This window comes from Homo sapiens, chromosome 2 (assembly GCF_000001405.40).
Source record: "Homo sapiens chromosome 2, GRCh38.p14 Primary Assembly".
Lineage (NCBI taxonomy): Eukaryota > Metazoa > Chordata > Mammalia > Primates > Hominidae > Homo > Homo sapiens.
In genome coordinates, this window is record NC_000002.12 from 70,037,800 (window position 1) to 70,051,511 (window position 13,712).

At 43.7% G+C, this 13,712-nt stretch overlaps 1 protein-coding gene and 1 long non-coding RNA gene across 93 annotated transcripts in view; both read right to left on the reverse strand.

Moving 5' to 3' along the window:
* Window positions 1-13,712, reverse strand: part of ASPRV1 (aspartic peptidase retroviral like 1) — a 154,659-nt gene that overhangs the window by 105,083 nt on the left and 35,864 nt on the right. For all 10 annotated transcript variants that reach the window (NR_170375.1, NR_170376.1, NR_170631.1 and 7 more), the window contains one exon: window positions 13,404-13,506. The gene's annotated coding sequence lies outside the window, so the exon portion shown is untranslated. The remainder of the gene's footprint in view (window positions 1-13,403; window positions 13,507-13,712) is intronic.
* Window positions 1-13,712, reverse strand: part of PCBP1-AS1 (PCBP1 antisense RNA 1) — a 125,946-nt gene that overhangs the window by 75,537 nt on the left and 36,697 nt on the right. For 25 of the 83 annotated variants that reach the window (NR_183117.1, NR_183115.1, NR_183116.1 and 22 more), the window contains one exon: window positions 10,888-13,506. The exons of 3 other annotated variants lie outside the window; for them this stretch is intronic. This is a non-coding gene — a long non-coding RNA (PCBP1 antisense RNA 1). Of the gene's footprint in view, window positions 1-7,458; window positions 8,998-10,887; window positions 13,507-13,712 lie in introns of those variants that run through there. 55 more of the 83 variants (NR_033872.1, NR_183089.1, NR_183090.1 and 52 more) reach the window with 6 other exon arrangements.

Genomic DNA, 13,712 nt, shown 5'->3' on the forward strand with positions numbered 1-13,712 from the left:
AAAAAATTATCTTCTAGTACATTTATTACTTTAGTTTTTATGTAAAAACTTGTAATCCATTTAGAATTAATTTTGTTATATGGTGACAGAAATTTTTTTTCTTGTCAGCCAGCTGTCCTGTATCATTTGTCCTAACACTATCCTTTCCTGCTGAAACCTAGGTCTGTTTCTGGATTTTCTAATCTATTGTGAGCTCTCCTCCTTGACAAGAATTCTTCTGCCCAGTTGGACTAGTTTTTCATTTGTCCACAACAGGTTTTGTGAAGGTTGCTGCTTTTATTGTTGCTTTTACCTAGAATATCCTCCTATTTTTCCTCCATAGATCCTTCAATGTAAAACCATTATGCAGATAAGCAGTAAGTGCTACTCAAAACAAGAAATACCTTCAAAAGATGGAAGATAATGGAAAAGTAAACATCAGAGGGTCTACATATTATTCTTTGTGTAGCTAAAGAAATGCATGAAGGCTGGGCAGAGTGGCTCATGCTTGTATTCCCAACACTTTGGGAGGCCAAGAAAGTTGAATTGCTTGAGGCCAGTGGCCTGGGCAACCAGGCTGGGCAACATACCAAGTTCAAGACCAGCCTGGGCAACATACCAAGACCCTGTCACTAAAAGACAAAAAAAATAGTAGCCAGGTGTGGTGGTGATCACCTGTAAGTGCTAGCTACTCAGGAGGCTAAGGTGGGAGGATTGCCTGAGGCCAAGAGTTTGAGGTTACAATGAGCTATGACCACATCATAGCACTTCACTCCAGCCTTGGCAACAGAACAAAACCATGTCTCAAGGGGGAAAAAAAAGCGTATGAAGCTCTTTATTCCCCCTTGGTAGGCTCTGGACACACAGAAGTGAACCCAGAAGTGATTTTAGGAGGAAGAGTTTGAGAGAGTTAAATTGCTTGCAAAATAGAATGACAGAAGTATTTGGAGTTCTAGTGGTAATATGCTAAGGAGAGTTTGCAGAGGAGAGAAAGATAAGATTATAAAAGACCAAGGCCAGCTGGGTGGGGTGGCTTACGCCTGTAATCCCAGCACTTTGGGAAGCCGAGGTGGGCGGATCACCTGAGGTTGGGAGTTCGAGACCAGCCTGACCAACATGGAGAAACCCTGTCTCTACTAAAAATACAAAAATTAGCCAGGCATAGTGGCACATGCCTGTAATCCCAGCTACTTGGGAGGCTGAGGTAGGAGAATCACTTGAACGTGGGAGGCAAAGGTTGCAGTAAGCCGAGATCATGCCATGGCACTCCAGCCGGGGCAACGAAAGCAAAACTCCATCTCAAAAAAAAAAAAAAAACAAAGCCAACATATGTGGGTGATATGAATAATGACAAATCCCTAGTGGAGGGGTGGGCAAAAGTACTCTGAGGAACAGGAATAACCAGTATTAGAATTCAAGTTGCTTACTTTGTTGCAATGTTGAATTCTCTCCATTATCCCAAACCTTTGATAAAGTCTGCAACGCATATAAAGGCTTTAGCTGGGAGTTCTACATCTGTATCATTGTGGATGGAAACAGGGTCAGTGTACTTGATCTAGTAAACCATCCATAATCTAAACAAATTCAATGGAAGCAAGAGCTCAAAATCAGAGCTCCTGGGAATTTGAAGAAATCTGAAGAAGGAATCAGAACAACTTGCTGTAAGTTGAAGAATGACATTTTCAGCCAAAACTTTAAGGAGAAGGATGACTCCAGCTAGCTGATGGGTTATACTAGGATGCTCAATCCTTAGACGTTTAAACCAGATTACATGAGGTTCCACAGTGATTTACACAAACAGCCAGCAGGGGAGGTGCCAATTACTCTGCTTGCACAAGAAACAAACTGAGGATCATATGCCCCACCTCTTCTCCATTCTGCATGCTCCTAAAAAGGTCTTCTGGCCCCTACTGCACCTAAGGGTGGCCTTAGTCAACTCTCAAGTTTTCTTCCAAGGTTCTAGCCCTCAGATGCTTCCTCTCCACGACTTCCATTTTACTTAGAGTCTGAATCTCAGCTTAACCTTTAATTGTTCTTGAATAAGAAAAGAAAGAACCACATCCTAAACATCTTACATTACAACCGGAGACTATTAAATTCCCAGTGGGGGAATAGAAAACAGTAATGCAAAAGCATGTTAACAAATGACGCCAGACAGTGATGCTCCTAAATCAAGGAAATGAGGAGGAGGAGGAGGTTTGGAAAGGGAAAGAGAATGGTGTGATGAACAATATAATTTGGCTTGAGACATGTTGAGTTTAAGGTGCTTAAGAGCTATCCAGGTTACAATGCCAATAGTGTTTGGCTATTATGAGTAAGAAACTCAGAAGAGAGAAAAATCTAGGTGGAGGATGATGGTATTAAAGTACTTGATGTATCAGTGGTAGCTGAACCAATAAATATAGATGGCATCATCTAGAGACAGTATATAGAGGGAGTAGAGACAGTTGGGCATAGTGGCACCCACCTATGTAATCTCAACTACTCAGGGAGGCTGAGACAGGAAGATTGCTTGAGCTCAGAAGTTTGAAGCTGCAGTGAACTGTGATCACACCACCGCACTCTAGCCTGAGTGACAGAGCAAGACTTTGTCTCTTTATTTATTTTTTAAATTTTTATTCATTTATTTTGAGATGGAGTCTTGCTCTGTCACCCAGGCCGGAGTGCAATGGCCTGATCTCAGCTCACTGCAACCTGAGACTTTCCCTAACAGCCTTCCTAAAGCTGTTAACAAGTTTTCCACAGTTATAAGCCAATTAATACTTAGCAAATACCGGCTGGGCACGGTGGCTCACGCCTGTAATCCCAGCACTTTGGGAGGCCGAGGCAGGTGGATCATGAGGTCAAAAGTTCAAGACCAGCCTGGCCAAGATGGTGAAACTTCGTCTTTACTAAAAGTACAAAAATTAGCCGGGCGCAGTGGCAGGCCCCTGTAATCTGACCTACTCGGGAGGCTGAGGCAGGAGAATCACTTGAACCCGGGAGGCAGAGGTTTCAGTGAGCCGAGATCACACCACTGTATTCCAGCCTGGGTGACAGAGTGAGACTCCGACTCAAAACTAAACTAAACTAAACTAAACTAACGTGGCAAATACTTGTAGACTGACCAAATAAACTACAAGCTCTATTTAAGATCTCTGAATGCCCATTTCAAGCCCTCTTCCCACTTCCTATAAGCGAGCTGACTCCCTGGTCTTCAGTTAAAACCATAGTCTTTCAGAAGAAATGGCAAAAATGGACAAATGCCATAGGCTAAGGCCCCAAGGGTGGGGCTTGTCTACGGAGAATGCTGCTTACTGGATGCTCAAAGAACATACCTAAGGACATGGTCCATCCATATTTAAGGTCATGGTCAAAGCTGAGCCTTTCCATCTAGTTTATGATTAGCTAAGCCAACTGAGATCAGCCAACTAATGATCTCACTCACGACAATAAAGACACATACATGAGGGTCTCAAGAGGACCTAGTAATTTCTTCATCAGAAGTCTTAGAGATTTCTTTCAGGTGGTCTTTCCCCAGCTGTGCTGGTTGGGAATGGCATGCAGGGGAAGTAACTGGCTTGCTCTTTGGTTACTAGCTAAGCCAACTTCCATTCCTGGTACGTGGTCACCCACCCAGTCGGATTTAAATGGCGACCCACCTGTAACACCGCCCTGCCCACAGAGCATGAGCTTATCTCCATTCAAGGATTGAAAAAAAAATTATAGTCTGGACTGCCCACAAGATATAGAAGAGAAATTTAATAGGGAAAGGAGAAAATTTATGTCATACTCATTCCATAAAAATGAGCTACATCCCATCTGGCACTGATCCCCATGTGTAACATCAAAATCCTGAACTAGCAGTTAAACTTGAGACTGATGCTGAGATGAATATAGTCCCAGAGTAGAAGGAAGGGTGCTCAGGAGCACTCTAGAGAAATTCTGAGAGGTCCAATCTAGGGAAGAGAGCCTCAGAGAAGCCCTCCTATCTTGTATCCAGAAGCCAGTGACGACCATGGCCGTGATGGCACCATTGCATTTACCACTTCCTGTTTCCATTGGGAAGAAGAGGATTCAAAGTGGAAGAAAGAATGCAGAATTCTTCCTTCCTCCCTATTTTAGAGTTCCACTGCGGATTAGAGCTATCCTTATGCAGACACACAGGAAATAGTGATTACTACCTTCATCTGGAATTTCAGATGAAGGTAATAGTAACATTATCTTCATCTGGAATTACTCTATTTGATGTCCATTCCTTTGGGATAAAGATTCACTCTTTCCAAAACTGTATTCCACCAAACACATATTCTGTAAGATTTTAATAAATATTCCTTCAGAAAAAAAAAATGGATCTCTAGTTAAATACGTTTGAAAAATGTTATATATTCTATTTCCCTTTTGGAGTTTTATAATGCATATTAAAAGCTCTTTTTGAGGTGCAGGCAGCTGGACAGCTAACATGAAATCCAGGGCAAGAGCTCAACAAAGCTAAGAGCCTTGTTCCAGAAGGCAGCAGGACAGACTAGCATGGCATCTAATTAGCGCAAAGAGCACTAGGCGAAGTTCAAGGTGGTCAACACAGGGAGATCTGTGCATGGACAGAACTCTACCTACTAAAGCCTAGATGCAAGAAAAGGCTCTAGTATCAGATAAGTGACCTGGCCAGGGAAAGTGTGGAAAGTCCCTGGTGAGGGACTGACAGCAGGGCTTTAGTCCTGGACAGGGTTAGGAAGTCCAGGCAGAGGAACAAGACAAAGTTTGTACTTCTAGGTAAAAGCCAAAATAAAGGTGAGATGGAGGGAAAGCAGAAACTGATAGGCAGAGAGCTGTCATTCAGGGCATAGAACACATGCCCAGGAGTTCTTCCCTACTGGAGACACTGGCTCTAATATCCTAGTGATCAGCAGATCCTGCTTTCCACTAGACCTCGTGTATGAGGCTGCAGGGGTTGAGGGGAGAGGAAACGGTGTAGGATGTTCAGAAATCTCAAGTAGTGCTGATTCCATTAAGGTAGGGGGTACAGACCTTGCCAAACTTTGGGGGATAGGGAGGACAGGCCATTCCTAGGCTGCCCACTAGGGAAATGTGTCCAAAAAAATTAGCTAGAACCCAAGAGGCCTCAGTGAAGCTAAAAGTCTGGATCAAAAATAAAGTGCTCCAGACTTAGAATAGGAATATGGACAGTGAAATTGAACCTCAGGGTGGAGGCATCTATAAACCCAATTGTAAGGAGTTCAGAAAGGCACTGAGATTTGAGTTGCCTCTGTAAAATATGCCCTTGGGGGAGAAAACGCTGTGAGAATTCTAATCATAAAGGCAGTTAGAGAACACTGGTGAATGAAAGATGATGCCAAGTCAACTAGGAAGGGTCTCTCTTTGGAAGAACTCAGGCCAAAAAAGCTGTATGCCTTCTTTGGGAGGCCGAGGCGGGTGTATCACCTGAGGTCAGGAGTTCAAGACCAGCCTGGCCAACATGGTGAAACCCCATCTCCACTAAAAATACAAAAATTAGCTGGGCGTGGTGGTGCGCGCCTGTAATCCCAGCTACTTGGGACGCTAAGGCAGGAAAATCACTTGAACCCAGGAGGTGGAAGTTGCAGTGAGCCAAGATTGCTCTACTGCACTCCAGCCTGGGTGGCAGAGTAAGACAGAGTCTCGCATTTAAAAAAAAAAAAGTTGTATGTCTTAATCACAGGGACTATCTTTGCAGCTTCTGGATCAGCTCTTTTGGCTCCACAAAATTAGTGGACAAGGGGGAACTGCACCTTTGCATGGATACCCCAAGTGCTTTGTCATCGCTTTTTGCATGGCTTATTTTGCTTTCTGGTAAATTTCTTAGCATAGCTCATTGGGAAATTGAGACCAGAAGTTGTCCGTGACCACCAGCCACAAAGGAAATGCCCTGCCCTTGTTGCCACTGGTGGCCTCTTTTGCGCCACCATTTTGCATCATTTCTTGGAAGCTGTGCCTCCCCCTTCTAAGATCTGTGACAGTCTTTGTCTCAGTACATCACAGTAAACCACAGACCCAAAGGTCCAGCACTCCTGGTTACATTATAGCTGTCAGCTGCTCTCCAGACAACATTGTGCCTCCATCCGAACATGCTGGTGGGCTATCTACTCAGCACAACCTCTTTTGGGGTCATGGGCCTCCATAACCAGCACTGTCAGCTGCTTGTCTTTTCTCAGACAAAACTGTGAAGGAAACCAAGTATTTCTTTAGAGACCCAGCATCTCTCTTCAAGGCCTTTATCTCAAACTCATTGGTGTCTCCTTCTTGTCCCTGCAACTAGGGGCACAGTGCCTTCTCCTCCCTATCCCTTCCTCAGTCTGGTTCTCAGAAATCAATCTTATAAACTCATTCATACTTCCAGTTAACATGACCAAAATGTTTCACAATCAAAACTCTTCCTGGAGTCTCTTCATTTTTAATAGGGTCTCAAAGATTTAAATCAAGAAAAAGAAATTTCAATTGTGGGATCCCAAGCAATAGCAAACAGCTAGGGCAAGTTTTTGAGGGGCAGGACACATTCTTGGTCCCCTGAAATTATACCACTTGACAGACCAGCTCTTTTTATTCCATCACCTGACACCTTCAAGCCATCTCTTCTGCTAGCCCAGGGGCCAGGATCCCTGGATGTGTGCCAGCACCCACTGCTATCTGGTCTCCCTTGGAGAAGAAAAAAGGAGACACCTAATGTTTTGTTTTGTTTTTCTGAGACAGAGTTCCACTCTTGTTGCCCAGGCTAGAGTGCAATGACACGATCTCGGCTCACGGCAACCACCGCCTCGCGGATTCAGGCGATTCTCCTGCCACAGCCTCCCAAGTGGCTGGGATCACAGGCATGAGCCACCACGCCCAGCTAATTTTGTATTTTTAGTAGAGACGGGGTTTCTCCATGTTGGTCAGGCTGGTCTCAAACTCCCAACCTCAGGTGATCCGCCCACCTCGGCCTCCCAAAGTGCTGGGATTCCGGGCGTGAGCCACCACGCCTGGCTGAGACACCTCTTATTTACTCAGTAATCATTCACTGCAGTAGTCACACAACAGGTGCCACCAGCTCCAGTACATGCAGTGAGGATACACCACACCCTCACCTCTGGCCCCATCACACCTGACTTTGTGAGCCACATCAACAGATTTTATGTAGATGATAGGACAGAGCCACTTAAGCAGTAAACCAATTACCAGTGGTGTTTTGACACGTGTGGCCTATGCTGTGATGAAGAACAAAGGCTTTTTGAAATCCTCACCTACAGCCAATTGGTATCTTTCCCACATATGTTGCTGCAGCATCTCTATATATAGAATCTAGTATTCTATAAACAGAATGTTCTGGCTAAACACGTCCCAACAAGCAAAATCGCAAGGTGGGTAAAAATGGCATCTCATCACCCTTCTTTCTCCTACCCTCCTTTCCTAAATCTCACCAGGGACAGAAAAGCTCTGTGAAAACAGCATGGGCTCTGGCGTTGTACAGACTTGAGGAGAAATAAATCCTAGCTCAGCCTTTTTATTAGCTGTGTGACCTTGGGCAAGTTACATAACTTCTTTGACTTTCAGCTTGCCCATGTGCAAAAAATGGGAATACTTTATTGGTTTGTATTACAATTAAATAATGTATGAAAGCATCTAATACATGCCTGGCTCTCAAGGGACACAAGTTTCTGTTATCCATCTAAATTATCATGTACCTGGTATCCTCAAGCTATCAAAGCCAAAGTGTGTGCCCCACACAAATATTCCTTTCCTTTCCTAAACCCTACTGAAGCTGCCATCCCCTCTAAGAGCTGATCTAATCACACTGTTAAAAGGAATGCAATTCTGATGAAACGAATTCAAGTAAAACATAAACAACATTGCTGGGTTTCCATATTAACTCTGGGGGCGGGCGGTTTCTGCATTTAAAAAAGCCTGGTTGGGAGGCCGAGGTGGGTGGATCACTTGAGGTCAGGAGTTCGAGACTAGCCTGGCCAACATGGTGAAACCCTGTCTCTACTAAAAACACAAAAATTAGCCAGGCATGGTGGCACGCACCTATAATTCCAGCTACTTGGGAGGCTGAGGTGAGAGAATCGCTTAAACCCAGAGGCAGAGGTTGCAGTGAGCCGAGATCACACCACTGCACTCCAATCTGGGCAATAGAGCGAGACTCTAAAAAAGCCTGGAAATTCAAATGAGAGGCAGGACGTGTAATGGTGAAGCTCTCCTAAAGGACAGGAGACCAGTGTTCACCTTTTCCCCTGCAAGCACAGCCTCTTTCACTCTCTCTGCAGAAGATGAGAAACCAATCAGAGCTACAGAACATCAGCTCAGATTGCTGAATGTCACACCTCAAATCAACAACAGGTCCAGAATAGAACTTGGAGCCTTGGCTACCCCTCCTGCTCTAGTCAGCACATGTCACTTCCTTACCCAGGAAGATGTGGTGTTTTGTTTTTTGTTTTTTCCCTAGGAGGTTTCCAACACTATTTTAAACTCTTTGGACTCAAGCAACAGGATCTGACTATGGTCACAGCCTTGAAACAGTGTGCAGGAGGCCTGGACCTTACTTCTAGCATCACGCCTTTCTTTAAATGGTCTCAACAAGGCCCAGATTAACACAGGTGGTAGAATGGACCTATGTCTTGACTTGTCTCTTAGTGATCCAGGAAGGAGGATCACAGAGAAATTTCTAGGCTTCCCACATACAGGATCACAGAAGCAGATTATTAAGGCTAAAATCAGCCTAAGTATAATCACCTGACACATGTGCTATGCTGACTATAAATCACAATTCAGGATGGGAGTTCTTATTATTAGGTACTCTTTGGCGGTATGCATGTTCTCCTTTGCTTTCCTGGCAAGACCCTAGGAAGCCAAGGGCACTAGCTCAGGCTGGGGTCTGAGAAGCCAAACACCCCTGGGGGAGGGAGGGTGGTCGAAAAGGCTGGCTGGCAGCTTCAGCAGGTGGTATAAAGGGGAACTGAAGGTGAAGTCTAGGGTGAGGGAAGTACTGGTCCAGGCAGGATTACTCAACAGCATGTGCTCAGGGAACTGGCAAAACAAGAACAACAACAACAACAAATATTTTAAGTTACTTTATATTTATGAAAGTGGTAACCAAGGTAAAAATCAGAATTTTGCTGCATTTTCTTTATATTTTGCTAGGTTTCTTTATACTTGTTTTGCATTTACGCTGTTTTTAAAATACATACGGAGGGATGAAAGTATGAGGGACATAATAATTTTTCTATTGCTTAAGACTATTAAACAAATTCTTAATCTGGCCCCTGACTTCAGGAAGAAGCAAGGAAAACCAAGAGTTTGAACTTTCCAGGTCAATATTCATTTCTTCATTCAATAAATATTTCTTGAGGTGTTAGTAAGCATCAGGCCTTTGCTCAGTCCTGGGATACAGCAGCAAACAAAAGAGATGTGGTTCCTGGAGTTCAGTTTAGTGAGAGTGGGTAAGAACAAGAACAGGATCTAAAGCCAAAGGTCTATATTGGAAAACAGGCAAGATTCCACAGCCAGCAATTAAATGCCAACAGAAAAGCCCAGGGGCATGCAAGAAGCTATTCAGGAAGATGAGCTGGTTCAGAAAATGCTCTCATCCCCTCACTCACTTTGACAGGGGAGACAGCCACTGTGGTGGGTTGAATTCATCAATGTAAGTGCCCTCACAGCCAATGCCACCATGAAACTGCCCGTTCTCTGTTCACAGCCATGTAACTATATAAGCTATGTGCAAGATCTTGAAAGCTCCAAAGAAAAACACAAAATTGTCTACTGACAGAAATTCTAGAAGGTACAGCACGCCAAAAGTGGGAAGTATAAAACCAACTACCAGAGGCAGCTGGGGGATCCTCCCCCGACATAGTCACTACACTTCTCTGACACTGCATGAAAAGTAAAAATAGCAAAGGGAAAATAAAGGGGAGAGGGGAAGAGGGATTGGAGAAGAGATCAGGTGAGATGGTCAGGCTACAGTCAGAAGCCTCCCGAGAGGAGTTTCTGATTTACAGTATGAAGCAGGCAAAACATTAAGAAAGGCTATGGCCTGGTGTGTTAGAAAAACAAGTCATAGGCCAGGCGTGGTGACTCATGCCTGTAATCCCAGCACTTTGGGAGGCTAAGGCAGGTGGATCACAAGGTCAAGAGATCGAGACCATCCTGGCCAACATGGTGAAATGCCGTCTCTACTAAAAGCACAAAAATTAGCTGGGCGTGGTGGCGTGTGCCTGTAATCCCAGCTACTCAGGAGGCTGAGGCAGGAGAATTGCTTAAATCCGGGAGGCAGAGGTTGCAGTGAGCCGAGATCGCGCCACTGCACTCCAGCCTGGTGACAGAGCGAGACTCCATCTCAAAAAAAAAAAAAAAAAAAAAAAAGAGGCAAGGCATGGTGGCTCACCCCTGTAATCCCAGCATTTTGGGAGGCCGAGGCGGGCAGATCACGAGGTCAGGAGATCGAGACCATCCTGGCTAACACAGTGAAACCCCATCTCTACTAAAAATACAAAAAATTAGCCGGGCGTGGTGGCAGGTGCCTGTAGTCCCAGCTACTTGGGAGGCTGAGGCAGGAGAATGGCGTGAACCCAGGAAGCAAAGGTTGCAGTGAGCCGAGATCGCACCACTGCACTCCAACCTGGGGGACAGTGCAAAACTCTGTCTTAAAAGAAAAAAAAAAAAGAAAAAAGAAAAACAAGTTATTCCAGCAGCTCAGCTCCAGCACTGCCAGGAGGTGATGGCCATGGTAAAGGTGGAGACCCAACAACAGCAACAGCAGGAGGTATGGAATCTATGCACAGCCAGCACAGTAGGGGCCTACAGAGATCTCAAAGTATTTGACTTCTCTGGGCCTCAGTTTCCTTTATCTGAAAATGAAGATGGTAAGAGTGTACACTAATTACCTAGGACTGCCATAACAAATTACCACAAACTATATGGCTTAAAACAACAGAAATTTATTCTCTTGCAGTTTAGGAAGCTACAAGTTTGAAATCCAGGTGTCAGTAGGGCCATGCTCCCTCTGAAGGCTCTAGGGAAGAATCCTTCCTTGTCTCTTCTAGTTTCTGGTGGTTATCAGCAATCCTTGGAGGGCCAGAGCCATTCCTTAGTTTGCAGCAGCATAACTGCAATCTCTGCCTCCATCTTCATGTGGCCATCTTCCCTCTGTGTCCCTCTCTTCTTATGACAACACCAGTCACTAGACAGACTTTCCAGTACAACTTCATCTCAACTTGATCATATGTGCAAAGACCTTATTTCCAAGTAAGATCACTTTCTTTTTTTTTTTTATTTTATTATTATTATACTTTAAGTTTTAGGGTACATGTGCACAATGTGCAGGTTAGTTACATATGTATACATGTGCCATGCTGGTGTGCTACACCCATTAACTCGTCATTTAGCATTAGGTATATCTCCTAATGCTATCCCTCCCCCCTCCCCCCTCCCTCAAGTAAGATCACTTTCATAGGTTCTGGGACAACATGAATTTTGGGGGATACTATTCAATTCGGTACAGAGCACCAACCTTATAAGAAGTTTATACATGTAAGGTATTATACTTAGGACTATGACTGGCACACAATATCTGCTGTGTAAAGGTTGGCTACTCTTCTTCAACATCTCTGGCAGGTAGCTGCTGCCAAAAGGATATGTGGGTGTGTTCTCTTATGTAAAAATCACTCTCCCTCCATTTTGAGTCAGAGGCAAGAAACTGAATCAAACTAGAGTTCTGAAATAAGCTGACTAGCACAGAGCTAGAGCACATGTTTATTACCATTCAGTACCCCTTATCAATATCCCACCAATATTCTCAGTCTGGAGTGAAAAAATACCTGCTACAAGCATTTGTTTTTTGAACAACATAGACTTTATCATTCCAAATGAACAATGGCCCTTCAAAGCAGTCCCCTTGTTAGGATCTGCCTTCAAAGAGCCTTCAGAGCCAGCCAAGAAGCTGTAGCAGAGAGACAGCAGTCTCATCACTTACAATTCAGACTGTGAGTTCTGATCCCAAACTGCTTTACATGGTATATTCACCCCATGGTTTGGTAATGAAATGACTTTTGGCTGTATCCAAACATTAAATCCATTCTCTGAGATGGAGATGTGCTATTTCAGAGAAAGTGATATTCAAAATAACAAGCTACTTTCAAATTAGGGAAGAGGAGAACAGATTAAAGGTTCTTGCTCTTGCTTCTCCTTTAACAAATGAATTAGGGACAGCTACCCAAACTGAAAAAAAATACAAGGCTGGGCGCAGTGGCTCACGCCTGTAATCCCAGCACTTTTCGAGGCTGAGGTGGGCAGATCACAAGGTCAGGAGTTCGAGACCAGCCTGGCCAACATAGTGAAACCATCTCTATTAAAAATACAAAAATCAGCCGGGCATGGTGGCGAGTGCCTGTAGTCCCAGGTACTCGGGAGGCTGAGGCAGGAGAATCGCTTGAACCCAGGAAGCAGAGGTTGTGATGAGCCGAGATCATGCCATTGCACTCCAGCCTGAGCAACAGTGAGACTTCGTCAAAAAAAGAAAAAAGAAAAAAAAAGAAAAAAGAAATACAGCCAGATCCCAACCACTCTCTTCATATCAAAATAAATACCAGATGGATCAAAGATTTAAATTTAAAGATTAAAGATTTAAACACACACAGTACTCAAAAAGAACAAGTAACTATTTTTATAATTTTGAGGTGGGGAAGCACGCTTTTTTCTAAACATTGGTCTAGTAGCAGAAAAAATTACAAGGGAAGAGATTTTCTGACTACCTAAAAATGTAAAATTTGCACACAGAAAAAAAGCTACATAGACAAAGTTGAAAGGAAATGACAAAATGGGAACAATTCTATGTTATATATGATAGTCGACATGTTAACTCTTACAAATTAATAAAAAAAATTATTGGAAAAAATGTGTAGGCAAGGTGCAGTGCTTCACACCTGTAACCCCAATGCTTTGAGAGGCCAAGGCAGGAGGAGCACTTCAGGCCAAAGCTCAAGACCAGTCTGGGCTGCAAGAACCCATCTCTACAAAAAATAAAAAATTAGCCAGGTGTGGTAGCAGGCGCCTGTAGGCCCAGCTACTCACGAGGCTGAGGCAGGAGGATCTCTTGAGCCCAAGAGTTCAAGGCTACAGTGAGCTATGATTGCACCACTGCATTCCAGCCTAGACAACAAACCAAGACCCTGTCTCTAAAAGAAAAAAAAAAGTTCAAAAGTCATGAATAAGTGATTTAAAGAAAAAATACAAAGGTCCAAAATACCTCTGAAAATTCAACCTTTAATACTCAAATAAATGAAAATTAAAGCATTCCTAATGAGTGCTATGTTTCAGTTACTATTCTAAGCATTTTACTTGGATTTATTCCTCACAATAACCCTATAAAATAGGTGCTATCATTATCCCTACTTAACCGAGATGAAACTGAGGGACAAAGAAGGTAAATGACTTACCTAAGGTCACACAGTTAGTAAATGGCTGAGTCAGAATTCAGCCCCTAGCAGGCTGGCTCCAAAGTCACATTCTTAACCACTGTGTTACAAGACCACGTCTCACCTGTCAGATGAGGAAGACAAAAAATACAACACCCAATGTTATTAAAAACATGGGAAAACAGGCAATCTCATGTGCTAATAGAAGTTTATATTCTTAAGGGTAGTTTGGCTCCGTGAATTGACATTTTAAATATGCATACCCTTTAACTCAGCTGGCAAATTTCTTGGAATTTATCCTGAAGAGATAGTGCACAAGCATGCAAAGAT